Source organism: Homo sapiens, chromosome 15, assembly GCF_000001405.40.
Source record: "Homo sapiens chromosome 15, GRCh38.p14 Primary Assembly".
NCBI classification, from domain to species: Eukaryota; Metazoa; Chordata; class Mammalia; order Primates; family Hominidae; genus Homo; species Homo sapiens.
The window spans coordinates 35,919,431-35,940,363 of NC_000015.10; the positions used below are offsets into that span (position 1 = coordinate 35,919,431).

Sequence of the window (20,933 nt, forward strand, 5' to 3'; positions counted from 1 at the left end):
AAACACAAAAAATTAGCCAGGCGTGGTGGCGGGCGCCTGTATTCCCAGCTACTGGGGAGGCTGAGGCAGGAAAATGGTGTGAACCCGGGAGGTGGAGCTTGCAGTGAGCCAAGATGGCGCCACTGCACTCCAGCCTGGGCGACAGAGCGAGACTCCATCTCAAAAAAAAAAAAAAAAAAAAAAAAAGGAATGAATGAGCTATTTGTAAGGTGGCAGTGGGGGGGGGGGGGGAGTGGGCTACATTTGCTTTACGAGTGTTAGCTTATTTAATTCTATGATAGTTATATAAAATAACTTCCATTGTAGCCTTTCTTTTATTTGAGTAAACGAAGGCACAGAGAGGTTAGGTTACGTATCCAAAGAGAATATGTGGGTAGATAGCAGAGTGAGGTTTTAAACCGCAGCCCCCTGGCTTCAATATCCATGTAACTGCCCAATAAACTGTGCTCCGTTCTCTAGTCAGTTCCATCATGAAGCGCAGTTATCAGTGTCTCATTTCTTCATACCCTTCCCAAGCCCATTGATAATTTTCAGGAACATAACATGTTACTATAGGAGAGCTTGGGATCCAGCTGACTGAATGTTTACAGATGACTTGATGAGGTAAAATAGATTTAAGCAACAATATGAGCAATTCAGTTTAGAGAAAAGTTTTTTCTGACATGGGTTCAGTCAATTTGACATAAAGATTGAGGTTAGGAAAACTATTTCTTTGGAAAACAGTCTCTGTCACCATGCTTTAGTGCCCTGACTCTATACGTCCATGGCTGTTCTTCACATAACTCTTTTATGGGTTATCATTTCATGAAATTTCCTTTGCATGTCGCGCAGTATTTTCAAGTGTATCAGGCTGCAGACTGTTATCAGCATATCTGACCTTCAGTGGAATTTACATTTTTAAATTTTTATTTTTTGCAATACTGGAACAGGATTGCAACAGAAGTGTTCAATTATTTTCAAAGAAAAATCATAAATTGTAAGTAGGGACTGGATATGTATGATTGTGGTTGAAGGAGTGGTCAGAAAAAGCCAACTTTTCCATATTAAATCTATGTATTAATATTTAATATGGGAAAAGACACATCATGGTTTTGGATGCTGCTAACAGAAAAAGAGACTGTTAATCTACATTAATTTATTTAAAGTAGAGTCAAATAGTGAAAAGAACAAGAAGATGATTATTTAATCTTTATTCTGATACAAGCTGGGACATGCTTTTTTATATTCAGGTTTCTTTTTTCTGTTTTAGCATCAAAGAAAACTGTATAATTTAGTAAGATTTTGTTAAGTATTTGAAGACTATATTCAAATAAATAATCAGGTCATAAATACTTTGATAAAGAGTGAGAAACAAGAGTACACATGTTACTAGGCTTTAAGCTGAAAAGAATCACTTACTATTTGAGCTTCACTAGTTATAAAGTAAGTATTTGGATTCAGATCAATGGGGACATGAAGACAAGGGGAAAAGAAACTTAATTCAATAACCTCAAAAACGTCTTTAGACAGCGGACTACTGACAAAATATTTCACCTCATTTAGTATAAATGAATTAGAGACATGTGGGTTGCCTTTTGCCCAGAATAGGCAGAGGCTTAAAATATAAGAGACATTAACTTTTGGCAAATCCTATTTGGTATTTTACTGAACCTAAATCATTTTTGCCAAAAGTTTACTTTTGTGGCTGAGTTTGGAGTAGAATGCAAAAATACAAAAAGAACACATTGACTTACATAGATGTATGGGGGTTTAAGCTGAAAAATGTATTGAGGTCAATGACAGTTTAAGATTCTTCTAGGAACAGACAGAATCATGCCAAAAGTAATGAATACTTCCATTGTCTTCTGGCTCCCATCTGAGTGGGCCAGAAAATTTCAAATTATGCCTTATAAAATGTAAAGACATGATGTAAGCCTGAGATGTAAATATGCTTCAGAAAACACCCCTTTTTAACAAAATGTGAATTTCAGGGCTCTGCCTTCAACTCTGATCTGGCTACAGTTGTGACACATATGTGTCTCCTATGCAGGGTCAGCAAACAGCAGGTAGGCTGGTAGGCCATGTGTGTGTAATTGCTTGGCTCTTAATTGTGTTAATGTTAATGCAGCTGCCCTGACTCAGACTCTTCTCTATTATAGGTTTCTGTTAGAAAAATAGTTATTTTAACAATTTATTTACATTTCACTGTATTTTTTTTTAAAGCAGTAGAACTTCCTTTATTATTGTTGCTGTTTTATTTGGGCTGCTAAACAGGATCTGGGAAGACTTGAATTCTAAACACATCATAGTGGCAGACCAGTAGGGAGCCTATGATTATCTTGAGTTTTGTCTACCAATGTCATGGCAACTAGTTAAGTTGGAGTATGGGGAGTAGATAGGGAAGACCAGGTAGACTGTTAACTTGGTATCACGTAGAGCCCTTTGATTAGCAGATTCTCTTCTCATATATCCCCTGCCCCTCTCCTTAGTAAAGCATAACTACATACATACATACATTTATATATAAATATATCAGCAAAACAAAGTAAAAATGTTTATGTATTATTAATATTGTCATCATGAAGATACCACATCAGGATGAGATATTGTGGAGGAGTAAACTTAAAATTTCTTATTATCGACAATATTTGTCATAAATTATTCTATTCATGGTTACTACATCAGTGGTATTACTATTCCCCCAAAATGATAAAGCAATTTACTAGTATTTCCTTGGAATTTTAAGATCAAAAGCTCTAGAGATGCATCTTTCTATTTTACCCGTGAAACTTAAGACAGCAAAAAGAATAACGAAACCAAAGGGTGACAGGCAAAGTTGGAAGCCTCAATGACAACTTTTATAATTTTTAGTTATAGCTCAGGAGAGAGATGGAACTTCTGCAAGATGGTATTTATAGATGAGAAGGCCAGGATATTTGTATTAGTAAGCTCAGAAAAGTATAGAAATATTCTAGAAGTCCCCTCTCTTCATCTGTCTGCTCATTACTTATTTTAGAAATAACAAATATCTATGATTTTGGCTGTGTAAATAAATGAGTAAGGGTTTGAAATCTTGTGATTCCAATATTTTTCACAATCCATTTGCACTATTTCAGGTAATTCCTTTCTTTATGTACAAGCAACCTCCACCACAGTGCCCTAAGGCACAATACGGTATAGCCATTCACACATGCACGGTCAACCTGGTTTCAGCCTATCAGAGCAAGATCAGGAAGGATTAGACAAATTTAGTTGTATACACTTACACAGGTTCAAAGCCAGTCTTATGCAGAGCTGGATAGGCAATTACCTATATGATGACATTTTATGTTACTACAGGACATAATGTCCAGGAAACAAAGGAATAGGAATTCTGTTTTTTGGTTACTGCCTTGGTTGAACATTAAAATTAGCATTGTTCTGTGCACTACCTTTGTTAATAAAAGTCCTAAGGAAGTTGTAATCATGGACATGTAGGACATTTGGGAAGTTTTGTGTAATGCAATAACTGAATGATTAGGGCAGGAGAAGGAATAATTACCAAATCCTTAATTTCTAGGCTGGTGGTACCCTTGATTTTACTTTTTGCAATTATATGTTTCAGAGAACATTGTTTAAACCATAGTGTTCAGATTTCTGTATTAAGATAAAAAAAGGGAAATTACATCTAGATGAGAATTGTAAGTAAGCATTAACTGTGAGTTATCATTTTCCTTACATTATCTCATTTGACTACTCAAACAATCTTACGAGATAGGTATTATCTCCATTGTTCAGATGAAAAGGTAGTCATAGAGATTAAATATTTATTAGAAGTCACACAACTAGTAAGCAGAAGTTGTGTGAACCTAGCTCTGTGGATGCAAAATAATGTACTGCTTTGCAAGACCTGTAGCATAATTTACTTATGTTCTATATGTGGGTAAAATTGTTACATTATCACTGGTAAAATACAAAACCAAATATAAAGAATAATTGCATTTTGATTTTTGGACCTGCCAAGACATACATCCTCAAACTCTTTTGCATCAGAAATGCCTGGGAGAATTGTTTTGTTTGTTTTGTAATTAAAATGCACCCTATTGTCTCTTCTTCCTTGATGATTGCCAAAAATTATAGTTTAAAAATACAACGAGGTGATATGAACATGTTTGAATGTTACCATTATATTTTTATTACACGTAAACAATACATTGTGTTTCCAAAATAATATACTCTAGAAAGTAAACTTTTCTTTCTTCTTTCCCATAAGTGACATCCTTCTGATATGCAGAGACTTTTAACTTGGGTACCAAACCATAATGGTACAAATAGAGGTATTTCAAGAAGTTGCTAAAATTGTTACATTGTAGAGCAGAATCTGATTTTGTGTACATGTTCCTACAGAAAATTCAGAACACATCTTAACCCCGTTATTCTTATTGTGTCACTTTAAAAGTTAGAGAATTGGTTTAGTAACAAACCTAGAAGTTTCCATCATATCCTCTTAAGCATCTGTGGTTCTTGCACTCAGCCATCTCAGCATGCTCATGCCAAAGCTCAAGACACGAGATCCTTCCAAATATGAAGAGTAAAATGAGGCTTATCACCTTCGTAAAGATTAATTATTTTTCAACCAATAAAACAGACTTTTTCTTTATCTAATGGGCTTCATCCATCATAGTACATGATAGATAGTTAATACTTTACTTTCAGGGAAACTGCAGCTTAGAGCAGTTTTACTAGTTCAGTTCAGACAGTGGTTTACCTCTAAACTTCTATAGCTAGGGCTAATAGTGTCTGATGAGCTCATCTGCCTGGAGAAAGAAAGAACAGACATAAGAAAGTGCTACCCCAAATACTTAAAATTGCCTTGCTGTGGATTTGAAACAACACAGGTTGTAAAAGCACAAAGTGCCAGACAGCTTACATACATCTTTTAGCACATTTCAAAGACAAAACAACATGTGCGGAATCAAAGGCAGGAAAATCATTATGTAAAATATCACCTTTCCCCAGTAAATGTTTTCTATTGAACTGCTGAAAATTCTTCTCAGTAAGGAAGATAGAAAGCCAGGGCAACCCCTCTGCAGGCACAGCAGAGTGAGGTCCACCCAAAAATTCTCCACTGCCATGGGCTGCAACCTTAAGACCCTGCATGACTTGTTAGAGATTTAGATTTATCTGGCTCTCTAGTGTCTTATTGCATAATTTCCATTACTTTATTACCCACCATTCGCCCTTCAATAGTTCTTTTCATGTGTTTTTTGTTGTGGCTTTGCTTATGTGGGACAGTCCATGTTACAAGTTTTCTCTATTATTTATATATGAAAGTCTCCTCATGAAAACACCATCATATATAGCAAAGCAAACTATATTAGAATTCCATAATAACATGGCTTTGTATAAATTCTGATACCCTCTTGGTCATAGTTATTCATAGGTCAAATGAAACAATGAACTAATTACACATTGATATACTAGACTGAGGCTGTGTTTCAACCAGGTTGACCTTGTCTGGGGAATACATGCAATCAGGGGCATGTAAGTCCCCTCTGAAATACAACTGAAGATGGTATGATCACCAATGATTGGAAAGGTAGGATCACTGGGAGAAGTCAAGGTTGAGTCTTGGATGTTACAACTAATGTCTATGATTTCCATAGTTCAGAATAAAACCAAGGATAGCGTATCAATCAGGACAACAATAGTCACTCCAGATAGGAGGAATTTTAATAGAGGGAGGTGCTGAGAAGCCAAACAAATGATAATAAGGCAACCCAGACATTACAGTAGCAAAAAGCCACTATCATCCCTATGTTTGAGAGTTAAAGGGAAAAGACTGTTATTGGATTGCCTGGCTCTGGGGCCACAGACAGAAGCCAAAACCATTTCAGGTCTGCCTGTCAGTAGCTTGAACCAGTAAGCAAAGGACACCTATCCAGATTTGCAGCCATAGAAGAGGTTGAAACCTGAGACTATCTGGTTTAAATTAACCTTTCTTGTTACTGGCAGCTACTAATAGATTGCACTTAATCAACTATCGCATCTCTCATAGAGAAGGAGTCATGACCATGTTTTCCTTATTTATTATGCCATCGTGCAGCGGAGAGTGACCCAGAGGTTTATTCTTCTTATGTGACAAGACTGATGAAATCAATCTCACACCATTTTACACTTGTATCTATTGTAATTTTTATACATATTAAAATAAATACCACACACCTGAATTAGGGTAAATGGCTTGCTTATTCGTCCTCTGAGGTGGGCTTTTGTTTTTCCTTACTAGAAAGTCTGAGCGTGTTTCGTTTCTCATATTTGTTTAAATAAAAAAGAAATTTTAATGATACCATGAATCCTCATGATCAGGGAAGAACGATGTGTCAGTTCACCTGATGACCTCACCAGCAAGTAACAGAAAACAAGCAAAATGACTCATACAATGAGGGCTTTGTTATCTTTATTGTCTGACAAGTCCTGTTGTATGTTCCAAGATCACTGACTTCAAGGGCTCAATGAATGGCTCAGGGATCCATTTCATTTCCACATTTTGTTCTGCCATCTTTGGAATGTTCGTGTTTGTCCTTACGTGGCCCCTCACATCCCCAAGTTACTCCAACCTTATATCCTCAACAATAACTTCCAGAGGTGAGAAGATAGACCATCTCTTCCTTATGTTCTTTCATAAAAGTCAGAAAAACTGTACTAGAAATCCACCCCAGACTTCCCCTCACATTTTACTGGACAGAATGACATTACATCATGGACAAGAGAATGGAATTTACATGAGTCATTTCAACCAGAGTTGATATGCACCTTCAGCTGAGAAGGGACTTAGTCTCCTTTGAAGGATATGGCCTACCAAGACTTGAACAAAATCAACTCTTACACAGCACTTACAACAAGGGAGGCACTATTCTAAGAGTTATTAAACATACATAAAGAGATATAGAAATGTGTATTAAATCATTTAATACAAAAATTATATGAGGTGGTTATTATCTATAACTTATCAAGATATTAAGTAACTTAAGGGCCAGGCACAGCGGCTCATGCCTATAATCCCAGTACTTTGGGAGGCAGTGGTGGGAAGATGGGTTGAGGCCAGGAGTTTGAGTCCATCCTGGGCAACATAGTGAAACCCCATATCTACAAAAAAAATTAAAAATTAACCAGGTGTGATTGTGTGGACCTGTAGTTCTAGCTACTCAAGAGGCTGAACCTGGAGGATCCTTCGAACCCAAGAGTTTGAGGGTGCAGTGAGCTATGGACATGCCAAAGCACTTCACCCTTGGTGAGACAGCAAGATAACCTTGTATTAAATAAATAAATTAATTAATTAATTAATTAATTAATTAATTAAGGTCACACTGTTATTCAGTAGTGACAGCAGGGTTGTAACTCAGGTGATCTGGCCCCAGAGTTGTTGCCTTTAAGATGAATACCAGGTTGCCTCTGTGGAATAGTGTGTATGTGAGGGAGTAGGATGTATGGTTGTTAGATAGACAACTACAATCTTTTCTCACAACAGACAGAGCCTGTCATTAAGTAGGCACTCAGAAATGTTCATGGAATAAGCAAAAAAAAAAAAAAAGAAGAAGAATGAATGAATGAATATACCCTTTGATAGCCTCCAATACAGTGTCTTGTATGTAATAGTCATTCAGTGGTTGCTTAGTTGATGGTGTCTCATTGTGTGTCTATTGCAGCACAATTTAAGTAGAGAATTTAGGATATGCTACAAACTGGTCTATCATTTTCCTTAAGATAAATGAGGGGTAATGCTCAGAGAGAGGGCAGTTACCCATGACTGAAGTGGGAGAGACTGACATTCAGGAGTTTGATTTGGGAAACCCTAGAATTCTAGGAAGTGATTGCTGTTTATAAAAATGCAAATTGGTCCTGTTTAAACTTGTCATTATAGAAAAACCTAGCAAGGCTCATATCCTATGCTAAACTCCGCTACAATCTCTATCCAGAAGATGTCTGACCATTTTATATTGTTTTCCAACCCTTTCTTGGTTTGTTCGCTGGAGAGAATCCATCTCATTTACCACAACTCCAAAATCCCCCTGTGTGGAACACAAGACACATCTATGTCCTGCTCACATTGTTTTCTTGAGAGCAGAGAGATGTCAATTGGCTTGGTCCTCTTTTATATGCAATTAGATACAGCTATCATATATTACCTTGTGACAGATATGCATTGTCTCATTCAATATTAAGTAGGGATCCACATGTAGCCATCCACAGTCGTAGACCTGGATATATCTTGTTTCTACTTGGAGAAATTCAATGAATGGCAACATGGATTTACAAATCAATATTAAGAGGTAATTATTCTGCTTACAAATAAATTTGTCAGCTTCCACATCTGTTAGCAGGTCAGAGATTATTTGAGTTCACATTAGAGTGAAATACATAGAAAAGAAACTTAAAGTTTGTATATTATAGAAGATCATTAGGAAATGCCTTCCTTTGACTCTAGAGCCAAAGGACTAATCTAACAATCAATGTCATCAATAACTTTCTCTACAGTATTTAATGTCAATTATTGATTCCCAGAAAAGCAAACCCTGTTCAAAATGTGTTATTTTGATTTATAAGCAATTCATTCACCATATTATTCTCCCTGACCCGCAGTAAGCAAATAGGCATCAAGCCCATGGTTTCCTAGTTATTAAGAATGATAATGTCTCTTACAGATTATCCAATCCAGACCTCTTGTTATATAGACACAGTTAGAAGGCCCAGTTACTATCCCAAGGCTACATAGCTAATAAAATATACAGCCAGAAGGAGAATTTTGGTCTAGAGCTCTTTCCTGTCCTCACAATTAAATAATCAATTTCTTTACATGTCAAAGTCACTACATCTTACAGTTCAGTGCTTACATAACTTTATACCATGCCTTAAATAATATTCCCAAAATACTTATTTGTATTCTTTATATCTGCTTTGATTCCAGAGTACAGAGAGCTCTTGGAGGATGTGATAGATCATATTTTCCAAAGATGGTCACAATATAATTTGCTACTTTACACACTCTTCTTCATTGTGATTTTGTCCTTACACCATTAGAAGTTTATTTTTCCAACCACTTTGAATCTGAGTAGGCCATGTGATTGCTCTATTCAATAATATACAACTGAGGTTCTGCATATGGCCCTTAAGTAGCCCAGCAACTCCTGATCCCTACATTTTGGAATATTTGCTCATAGGACATTTCTTCCAAGAACCCAGTCTCTGCAGTGAGAAGCAGGAACCATACAACAAAGCCGTGATTAGCTGCTCCAGCCTAGCTAAGCTTTCAAAAACTGACAGCTAGTATCAACTACCAGACATGTAAGCGTACCATATTGAACTTCTAGCCCAGCTGAGCTTTTGGGTGACTGCAGGCCTAGATGACAGCTGCCTGTAAGTGCTTGAGAGACCTCAGGTGAAAACCAACCAGTTGGGCACAATCAACCCCCTGGCCTTAAGAAATATTAAATAAGTTTTGTCTTAATTGCCTGAAGTTTTAAGGTGGTTTGTTAGACAGCAGTAGACAACTGGAACACAGCACTAGACAGGAGTTAGCAGTTGTGACTGCCCACAGATTCATGACATCGAGCCTCAGATGCACTCTCACCTCTGCCAAGCAAGCCTCTACTTCAAGCCTCACTGACTCTCATACGTACTGCTTACCTTGACAGATCCAGCTCTCCCACTCTTCCTATTAGCAAAACCTGTCAGGTTTGAAACTGATGTCTGGGTATGTGGAATTTTCAACAGAAATTCTAGGAAACTTCAACACTTCTTAACATAGAAAAAGAATGCTGTGTTTTTCCATATGGGTATCTCCCTTAGGTAACAAGGCTCAACAGAGGTCATAAAGCCCAAGAGCAAGTTAGATATAATGTTGACCTTTCCAGAAAGCACAGAGCTAAATTTAATACTCAACCTGGTAACTATTTCAGCCTGGAGGGACATTATATTTGCTTCCTCTTCTGCAGGGTTCTGATATTTATACATTTTTTACTTTAACAGCCTTATTGTATACATGTGATAATTTCTAAATCTTCTTGGAAGCAGGCAGGGTCTAAACTACAAACAAATAATATTAAATCCCTTCCCCAGAACCTGCTGGTCTGGTCCTCTCCAAAATATGTGAGAGACATTTTGCTCTTTTCATTTAGCGTAGCGTCCCCAAAGCACAGAAGTTGTCCCAGTGGCAGAACATGAGAAGATTTAAGGTAGACCAGGGGTTACTAAATTTTTAATTTTCATAGTTATGTGTTTATTTTAGTATATATTAGAAAATATAAAACTAGTATATCACATATATTGTTATACAGGGTAAGGCTAATTTAAATAAAAATGTTAAATTAATAATACTTTGTGGATATGAACCAAACCATAAAAGTAATAGACAAATAATTGAGAAACACTAATTTGAAATTTCTGAAAGGGTTCTGGGTTCCCTTCTCTTTCTAGTGGATCGTTGTTGGGTAGTTGCGACTTTCTGGCTGATTGATTTTCTGCCTTCTTTTTGAGTCAGCAAGCTATTCCTTGCCACAGTTGAAACTCATATAACACGTGTCTTTCTATATCTCATTTCATCAGCAAACCTAATTCACATATTTTCCCATGATCATAGGTGCTTACCAAGGCCATTTCAGCAAATCTCCATGAACTAAAGAGCTGCCTTCTGAAGATGCTGATGGTGGTCAGATGATTCCCAGAGCTTGGCAGCACAGGGTTGGGTTTCCAGACTGTGCTCAGCCAAACAGAGAACTCTACCTGACACAGAGGCATTGCTCTCTTCTCCCATCCCTTTGCCTCCTCAGCTATAGTTTCATCTTCACATTCTGCAAATGACCCAGTGATTATACATACCAGTCCCCTGACTCCACTGCTAGGTAGTAACCACCATCGTTTTCTTTGTTGCTACATCTTCATCTACCTCTGACCCCTTCACCTTACAAATTTTATGGTAGAGTTCTAAATAGTATACTAACACTTCCTGCAAAGCTACTATTTGTGTGACTTACATAAATAAATTTCAATTGAAAATGAGTCTGGAGACATCTCTAAAAAGATAGCTTTTTCTGTCCTTTGATCAATGGGGAAATGGACTGTTTCCATTTCTGAACTTCAAGTACTGCTTAGGAAAGTGTGCCTCTTCAATCTTAACATCAAATAAGCTATGCCCCATATGCCAGATCAAGATCCACAGGCACATGCCCCGGTCTTGGATGCTTCACAGACTTCCTCATTTAAGACCTTTGAATTTACCGCCTGCTCTGGAGACACAGTTCTCATCAATTCCCATTTATTAGTAGGTGCGTAAAAGGAGGCACATTCTGACATGCAATAAAAAGCAAACCTAATGAGCAAATGGCAGTGAACTTGAGGGGCACTTTAAGAGAAGGTCTATCAGTATTCATAACTCTGACACACCATAAAAGACACTTTAGTGCAACAAAAATGTGTCAGAAAAGATATTGAGTTAACTGAAGGGGGAATTTTCTGGTAAAACACATAAGAGCACCCATTTCAACTGATCTGAACTATTAATATATTTTCTTCTTTACTGACAACTCATTTACCAAGTGTCAGATGAATGGTATTGGAGACAGCACTGATATTAACTCCCAAATGAAGTTCTATAACAATGAAAGGTACATAAGTATTCCACCCTAGCATCTTCTCTATAATTAATGCCCTTGGCCTTGCCTAGACAGCTAATGCCACTCAAAAATTAGAAGAATCATCTTTGGAAATAATTCTTATCATTATATAAATGGCACATTATAGTTTCTTTATTTTTCATCCAACTCATTTTTTACATGATACAGACAAAAGTTAGAGGACATCTTCAGATTCTTAAGGCAACTTAATCTCAATATTTCAAAGCAATACATAAACATCAAATTTGTTGTTTAAGCGTTCTTCCTCAAAGGAGTCTCTTAAATTCAACTAAACAAAAAACCCAAAGCCAATGAATGAAGTCAAGGCAAAACCTCTGCATCTAACACCATGGAGGGAGAAATGTATAATCACAGTATACTTATTAATACAGTGATAAGCATGGTCAATAAATGTAAGCTTTCCCTAAATCATATTGGTATGCTATTTATATAAAATAATGGGGGAGCTATCTTTTTATCTTCTTTTTTAATAATGGAATTCCAATTAACTTTTTTGTCCTTGATTTATACATCTATATTTTTATGTTACTCTTTAAAACCATATATACATGAAGGCTGCACATTATGAAAGTTAATGGTAATATTCAAAGAACAGAATATAGTTTTCGAAGGCAACATAAAGAACAAACCTAATAAGTACATACCGTGAGTTTTACTGCCACAGCATCAGACTCCATTCTTAATAGCTTTCCTGTAAGATTTCCACAGGTGGCAATATGGATTATGGAAGAGCAGCATATTTCTAAGACTATTATCTCTTTTCAACTCTGTCATTTTAATGAAAATACAGTTAATGAAGGTAATGTGATTAAACATTGGGCTTTGTCAAGTGAAATATAGAGGGAAGAAAAGCAAATGGGGGAAAGTAAATAATTCTACAGCCATTGGCCAGGGTCCAAGACCTCCTTAAACTCTCTTTACAGCAGAAACACAAGAGACGACAATTTTTCCTGCATTATATTTTTACATTCACTATCAATTTTCTGTGACAGTCATGAGGCCACTTTATCCAAAAAGTTGCAAAATATTGACATAAGAGTTTCACTGGATAATTTCAGGTCAAACTAAGTTAGTTTATTTGCTTTCTCACTAGCTTAGTAGTGGAGACATGTTTTAAGTGATCACAAATCTGTGACTTTTCATCTGTAAGCTATATTATTAAGTGCTCCAGTAAAAATATGCAAAACTCAAAGTATGTAAGAAAACATTGTCATTACTTCCAATATTCTTTGTGATATTACTTCGTTTATTCATTCATCCATTCATGCATTCATTCATCGTTCAGTAATAATTTGTTGAGCACCTAACATGGGTCTGTTCCTCTGCCAGGACCCTGGGACTCCAAAGATTAAGATTAAAAGATGTGCCTCCTGTCCTTGGGCATTTTATATTCTATAGGGGAAATTGAGCAGTAAAAGATGTTCTTAATACAATGTGGTAAGTACAATGTTAGTGCCTGGCCAGGGTGCTGAGCTGGCGTGTGCGGATATGCCTTAGTCAGTTTGAGTTACTGTAACAGAATACCATAGACAGGATGGCTTGAACAAGAGACATTTATTTCTCACAGTTCTGGAGGCTGAAGTCTGCGATGAGCATGTCAGCATGATTGAGTTCTTGGTTAGGGCCCTCCTCCTGGTTCACAGATGGCTGTCTGCTCTCTGAATCAACACACAGCAGAGAGAAAGAGCTCTGTTCCTCGCACTGCCTTATCAGGGATCTAATTCCATCACCGGGGCTCCACCATCATGACCTTATCTGATTCTAATTACCTCCCACAGGCTCCATTTCCAAATACCATCACACTGGGAATTAAGGTTTTAACATGAATTTTGGGGAGACAGAAACATTCAGTCTGTAGCAAGATATGTGGGAGTGGAGCAGTAGGGTAAGGGGAGTCAGCAGTGAAGGACTATGGAGGAGAGGTCTGAACACAGCTTACAAGGATAAGCAGGAAATATTGTCATATAATGGACATTCAGAAGAGGAATACCATCCAGCAAGAGACTGCAAATGAGTACTTATGTAGGTGGAATAAAAAGCAAAGCAGAGATTGAAGTCAGGGAAAGAACAAATGTTGAGAGTAGGGAATTTTATCCCTATTTCATAGGAAAAGATAGCAAGGACCCAGTGCACTTTCTTAACAGATAATTTGTAGAACTGGGGTTTGAGCTTGTGAGTGAAATGGTGAGTTTGGCTGTGGATCTCTCTCTCAGACAGCAGTGGGCAGCCATATGAGATATCAAATGTCTAGTTAAAATTATGTGTCTGAGAAATGTAGATTTAATTCCTTATTTGCTTATTCATTTATTTTCCAGGCACTCAAACTGTTCTAGAGGTTGCATCAGTAGACACAGAACACAGATCCAAATCCTTGTGCTCACGGAGTTTGTATTCCAGTGGTGATAGTGTAAGGCGGGGTAGAATATATTAAACAGGTGATCATTTAAAATATTAAAAGTATGAATGGTTGTCAGTGTTATTGAGAAACTGAAGCAGATGACAGGGATGGTGGCACTACAGTTTTGAATTGGTGGCCTGTAAAGGCCTTAATGAGACGACACTTGTATAAAGAAGATAAAGTGAGTCATGTGAATATCTAAGGAAAAGTGTGGTAGAAGGAATGAACAGCATGTGAAAAGGCCCTGAAGCTGGAAAATGCCTGGCACGTTTGAGAAAGGGAAGAAGAGCAGTGAGGTTAGAGCAGAATGAGGAAGAAATTAGCAGGACGTGAAGAGTGAGCCAGATCATCCAGGGCCTTGTTGGCTATTGTGAATGCTTTGGCTTTGATTCTGACTGAGATGGGAAACCATTATAGAGTTTTGAGCAGAGGTATAATATGATCTCTTATATTTTTGCTGGATCATGTTGTAGGCCATGTTGGAATAGACTGAATGAGGAAAGGACAGAAGTAGAAAAATCAGTGGGGAGGCCATCCTGATAATCCTGGAGAGAGATGATGGTGGTTGAACAAGGTAGTACAGGTAGAAGAAGGAAGAAGCGATTAGATTCAAGATGTATTTGAAGAAGAACCGACAAAATTTGCTAATGAATTAGATGTGGCATGCGACCACAATGAAAGAGGTGACAATGACTCCAAGGTTTTTGGCATGGAGCAAATGGAAAGCTAGAGTTTTTACTAACTGAGATGGAGTGAGGGGTTTAAGAAGATAAGAAACTTGGTTTTGACATCATGTGTTCTCATAAATGGGACCTAAGCTATGAGGGCCCCAAAGCATAGGAATGATATAATGGACTTTGGGGACTCAGGGAGAAGGGTGTGAGGGGGTGAGTGATAAAAGACTACACATTGGGTACAGGTTACACTGCTCGGGTGACAGGTGCACCAAAATCTCAGAAATCACCACTAAAGAACTTACCTATGTAACCAAAAACCACCTGTTTCCAAAAAACTGTTGAAATTTAAAAAAAAATTGTCAACAACAACAGAAAAGAAACTTGTTTTGAAAATGTGAGACTGAGATCAATATTGGACTCAAGTGGAGTCCAATATCTGTAATAGTTGGCATATGAGTCTAGAGTTCAGATAACAGTGTTTAGGTGATACTTAATCATTGTTATAGAACGAGATCCCCAAAAGTAGAGTTGATATGAAAGAGACAAAGTTCACTGAGTGAGCCCTCAGACGCTTAACAGTTAAGAAAGCTGGGAGGTGAAAAAGGACCTGGAAAGGAGGCTGAGAAGAAACAACTAAAGCAGTGGGAGGAAACCCAGGAGAGTATAACCTCCCAAAACAGAGGGAAGTATTCCAAGAAAGAGGAAGTGGTTCTTTGTCAAATGCTGATAGGTTAAGAAAGATGAAAAATTATTGACCTGTGGATTTATCAAGTGAGGTCCTTTGGGAGTCATTAGTAGATGAGTGATGCCAGAAGCCAGTTTGAAAATTAGCCTGAAAATTAGATAGTTTCAAATGATTGGTAGAAGCAGAAATCAGTTTATAGGGAATTGAGTGAAAAGGTGGCAAGAAATTAGCAGATGTAGACTATTCTTTCCAGAAGCTTGATTATAAGGCAAATAAAAATATTTGAGAAATCCTTGAGATTAGTAGGACACCAATGTGTCAAGAAGAAAATACATTTCTTTTTTCAAAGACAGGCAGGCTAGACTTGAGTATTCCTCTGGGCTAACAAGAGGAAGAAGCTAGGAGATAAGGGAAGGTTGAAGCATTAGAGGAAAGTGATGGACAAAGGTTCCTGAGTGATTTTAGAGCTCCTTCAGTTCTTTGCCAGTGAGTTGTCACGTTAGCAAATTCTTCAGGATTCTGATATGGACAGACAATTGTCATGGTGTCACGGTCCATGTGCTCGTCAATAAATGTGATGAAAGGGTATATGTATATGTATCTATACACATTTGAATAAATACATCATCCAGTATGTATGTGTGCATATATAATGTATTTATGTTTACAAAAAGCTATATATTATAGCATATGTATGTATAATATAAAAATATTATTTATTTTCTTTTTCGCAACTATTACTCTTGAGTGAAGAGTATAAGAACATTCACACTGATTGTTTTCGCTAGGAAAGGGATCTGTGAAACATATCCATAAAATAATATCTGGCTAAGCCTGAGACCCACTAAAACTCTATGGTTCTCAAATGAAAGCTAATCTGAATTGTTAATAATTCAGTTTATATATTTAGTGAAGTGTAATACCAACACAGGTAGCACTAGCTTCCTATTATGGACGTCTTCAGAGACAGCAAACATACCTCTAATAACATTGTAGTAAATTCAGATTTTATGATAAGAAATAGATTACAGTTTATCACATAAAATAAAGAATGGAATATACTGGGCTTTATTTAGCTAAAATAATTAAAATCTAGAATTAAGTGTGTCTCATCTTTTTTCATATGGACAGAAAGTCAATCACAAGCGACTGGTATGAAGCATGGTGGAGGTAATTTGAGTTTCATTTCTGAATATCTCATCTGCTTCAAACAGCATTTATTAGATCAAAAAAGAACAGCGCCCCCCCTCACCACCCGTCCTTCCCCCAAAAAACTTTAACATCTTAGATGAAAGCTTATTTTTCTTTTGGATCATACCTACCAATGCCCCAAAGTACTGCAATAAAATGAAAATAAAACAAACAGCATTGTCAGAAATAATCACATAGCAGGCCAGCCCTCCCACTTCCATTCAACTCCTTCACAAAGAAGCCACAGTGCTTCACTGAACAGCCCTTAAATCTTTATTGTATTTTGCCTCTGGGGCTTGCTCATCACTGCAGGTCTAAAGTGTCTGTTATGGTCAGAAATAACTTTAAAAAAATATTGCACCACTGAGCCAATGAGTGGTTCAAATGGCTCCAAAATTGTAAACTTGTAAAATGCAAGGTAGAGTAAGCACTTCAGCATTTGGAATAAACTGACTGCTTCACTATGTCATCCTTGGCACTCTTGTTTTATGAAGACCAGAAATACTGAGTTGAAGCAAGAGTATCTATAAAACCCCTGAAGGTACTTGAGAATTTTCTTTCCTTCCTAGCCACAAAGATGAATAGCCGACTGGACTCTAGCTGGAAACTGTTCTTAGAATCTGCGGTTGCTCCCATTACAGAATGCTTTCTACAAGCCTGGGTAGCAAATGGCCTGGTAAAAATATTTTCAACTGATATTCAGAAACCTGTGTTTTTAGATCTAACCACATGCATGAGGCTTTCTGATACAATTAAGACAATTCATTGAGTTCCTCCTGGCAATTATGAAAAGATTATTCATGATTTTAAATTTTCATATTACTGATGTTGTTGGGCCATTTGGTTATTGTCCTGTCATTAGATTAGTATCTAAGTGATATAAATTTTGCTTTAAGAATGAGGTTGCAGAGAATGGAAGTAGATGGTTTTGTCTGCAGGTGAAATTTTTATTAAAATAATTTACACACATTTCAAGAGCAATGTACCTCTTCAAGTTCATTGGTCGTAATATTTGGAAGTTGTGATCAATCCAAATAAGGAAAAATGAATACTGAGAGCTTAGCATAACAAAGCAAAGGTTACCTTTCTTAATTATTTAAATTAATTTTTATTACTTATGACATAGTTTTGACATATGCATTGATGATGGTGTTCATTAGCATTTAAAGTGACTCTGGCTGCTTATGTTTGAACCAAACTAAGAAGTATTCTATATAAAATACATGTATGTATAAATGTTTTCTATGTGCATATGTACACATATATGTACATACATACAGATAAAGCAAGTGGGAGCACAGGTCTTGGGGTAGCATTACTTTGAACATTTTGCCTTTAGCCCACAGGGTCAAAACTTATTAGGAAGTATGTATTTGTCACCAAGGAAAATTTCTGGTAAATCTAGAAGCACAACACACTTCTAAATATACATGATTAAAATTAAGCTGCCATATATTGGGCATTTATGCAGGAAGATATGCTTGTACAATGCTGGGAGATTGCACAGGAGTTGGCAGGCAACTGTGTTATTATCCAATGCAGAAATCATGAAATCTATGCCTCCAGGGTTTAATGGCCAGGCCATGACACTGTGTTTACAGGATCAGATCCTAAAGTACAGCTTATACTACATTGGGCCAGTTTAATCTAGCTCTATAACTCCTCATACTCTTCTCTTTCTTTTAGACCCAAGAATGTGGCCCTTATGCCCGTGGAAGCTTTTAATTGCCTCTTTTGGAAACTAGTTTTGATTCTTCATAATCACGTCTGTTTGAGGACACAGACGATCAATGTAAGGACATTCAGAACCTTCTAACTGTCAATACATTTTAATTGTTTTATGTTTTCTCCAACATCAAAATCATAAAGCTTCTTTAACAATGATTTATTCAGCGTATACTATATGTCAGGCATTGTGTTAGGAGGTTTAGAAAACATTATTTCATTTGATTGCTACGGTTTTGTGAAATGAACACAATTATCACCTCTTCCATAGATGAGAAAAGTAAATTTAAATTTAAATACAAAGTAATGTAAACATTTTGTTTGAAATCTCAAGTTTTATACAATCAGGATTCAAAGCCAGAGTTTCCTACTTCCAAAACATATTCTTTTTAAAAAACATTTTAAACAATACACAGTCATGGTATTAGATGGTTTCAGATGAAAAATTACAAAGAGTATAGAAATTTTGTACATCATTTTCCCAGCTTCTCCTAAAGTTATTATTTCACATAAACATAGAACAATTATTGAAACAAAAGTAACCTTCATGCAAAACTGTTTATTAATCTACAGGCCTTATTTAAATGTTGCCCATTTTCACACTAATATCCCTTTTCTAGATCATTAATTCAGGTTTTTACATTGCATTTAGTGTCACATTTCCTTAATCTCCCCTCGTATGTGACACTTCCTCAACCTTCTTGTCTTTCAATACCTTGATTTTTTTTAAGGAGTACTGATGATTTGTTTTGTAACTTGTCCTTAAAACTTCACCCATTTTCTAAACTATGACGTTCAGTTTGGGTTTGTCTGATATCGTCTCATGATTCGACTAAAGTTATACACGTTTGGCAAGACTATTTCATCAGTGATGTGTCCTTCTTAATGCATCTATCATTATATTGGGTATATTAATTGATATGTATTGCAAAGCAGAAATTTATTTTCCTATATTATCTTTGTCTTTTAATTGTGTGATATGAACAAACTATAATACAGCATTAAGATCTGAGAAAGATTAAACAGTTCGAAATATGTCATATTATATCATTTAGTAGAAATCACATTGGCTACTGACTAGCCATGATTAATTAGAATATGCCTAAATCCTTAACTGAATTAGCACTCGTGTGTGTGTGTGTGTGTGTGTGTGTGCGCGTGTGTGTGCGTGTGTATGCAGAAAAATGCTAGTAAATGTTTAATAATCAGCTCTCGGGGAAAGAAAAAGCCCTTATTTGGAGTGCTTGCCAATTTTGTGGTGTAAATACTCCCACCACGGCCCATTTCAATCTACCAACATTGTCAATGAACTCAGAGCTAGGAGGAAAGGAACACAAAATGAAGTCTCAGGAGCTGGTACAAGCCAGCCCCTAGCACGCCACTGAAATAATATATATTTATACACAGCATTTTCTGGACTCGAGGATGCAATTTATAGAACCAAGAGAAACAAACATAAAGACAAGACAAACATTTTATAATACCCAAGAGTAGAATTACCTTAAAAGACAAATACAGAAATTCCTAGAGTGTCATAATTAAGAACGAAAGTGAAACTTAAAACGAAAAAATTTTCATTGCCTTAAGTCTTTAGAGAGTGAAGTTATTTGATTCCAAGTCTTAAAAACATGTAATTTTAAGCTTCCTAATTGCTAGGTGTTATTGAAAATAACTTTAAAGGCTGGGCGCGGTGGCTCACGCCTGTAATCCCAGCACTTTGGAAGGCCGAGGCGGGTAGATCTCGAGGTCAGGAGATCGAGACCATCCTGGCTAACACAGTGAAACACCGTCTCTACTAAAAATCCAAAAAAATTAGCCGGGCGTGGTGGTGGGCCTCTGTAGTCCCAGCTACTCGGGAGGCTGAGGCAGGAGAATGGCGTGAACCCGGGAGGCGGAGCTTGCAGTGAGCCGAGATCGCGCCACTGCACTCCAGCTTGGGCGACAGAGCGAGACTCCATCTAAAAAAAAAAGAAAATAACTTTAAAAACATGGTATGAGACAGTGCTGGAACAAGAGGCCAAAATCATCCTGTGCCTTATCTCAATTAATATGGATAGCACGACATTTCCTTAACTCTTTATTCACTGGAACACCATTAGAGTGGAAACCAGTTTAACAATACTGGTTTACTTCCTTACTGCTCATGTTACTAATGAGGTCACAGCTGATCATTGTAGTAACTGTTAGCAAGAGACTCATAAATGCCAATTTTAATGGAAAACTTTGTTTCGAACATATTCCGCAGTGCACATTCAGCCTAAAACACTTTTTCACAATTTAAATTTCCGTATGCTGCTCCGTAAGGGAAAACACACACTCCCACATTGGAGAGCTGCTTTCAGCTGAAATATACTGTATATTTGATTTACTAATCAAATATACAGTATATTTTAAAAACAACTTCCAGGTAGTATTATCATGTCATACCCTTCCTACACAGATCACAATATTCGTATAAAGAAATCAATTCTACATAAGACTATTGTTTTAAAAAATGTCATTATCTCAATGTTTATTTAAAAGTTACAATATTTTATGCATACAGTAGTGGGCAGAATGACCTCCCAAGGATGTTCACGTTCTAACCCCCAAGATCTACATGGCAA

General features: G+C 36.8%; 1 long non-coding RNA gene and 1 other non-coding gene across 3 annotated transcripts in view, besides 1 other annotated feature; both read left to right on the forward strand.

Moving 5' to 3' along the window:
• Positions 1–464: 464 nt before the first annotated feature.
• The window catches only part of LOC105370766 (uncharacterized), a 56,276-nt gene continuing 35,807 nt past the window's right edge, over positions 465–20,933 (forward strand). For both annotated transcript variants that reach the window (XR_001751478.1, XR_932104.3), the window contains exons 1-2: positions 465–603; positions 18,289–18,394. This is a non-coding gene — a long non-coding RNA (uncharacterized LOC105370766). The remainder of the gene's footprint in view (positions 604–18,288; positions 18,395–20,933) is intronic.
• Positions 7,426–7,493, forward strand: MIR4510 (microRNA 4510). The gene has a single exon (NR_039735.1). It is a non-coding gene; the product is annotated as a microRNA 4510 (primary transcript).
• Positions 10,890–10,949: an enhancer, noted in NCBI's record as "active region_9192". NCBI's record gives its function as "activates an Ori minimal core promoter by ATAC-STARR-seq in GM12878 lymphoblastoid cells {active_cell/tissue: GM12878}" and the evidence as "EXISTENCE:reporter gene assay evidence [ECO:0000049][PMID:35858748]".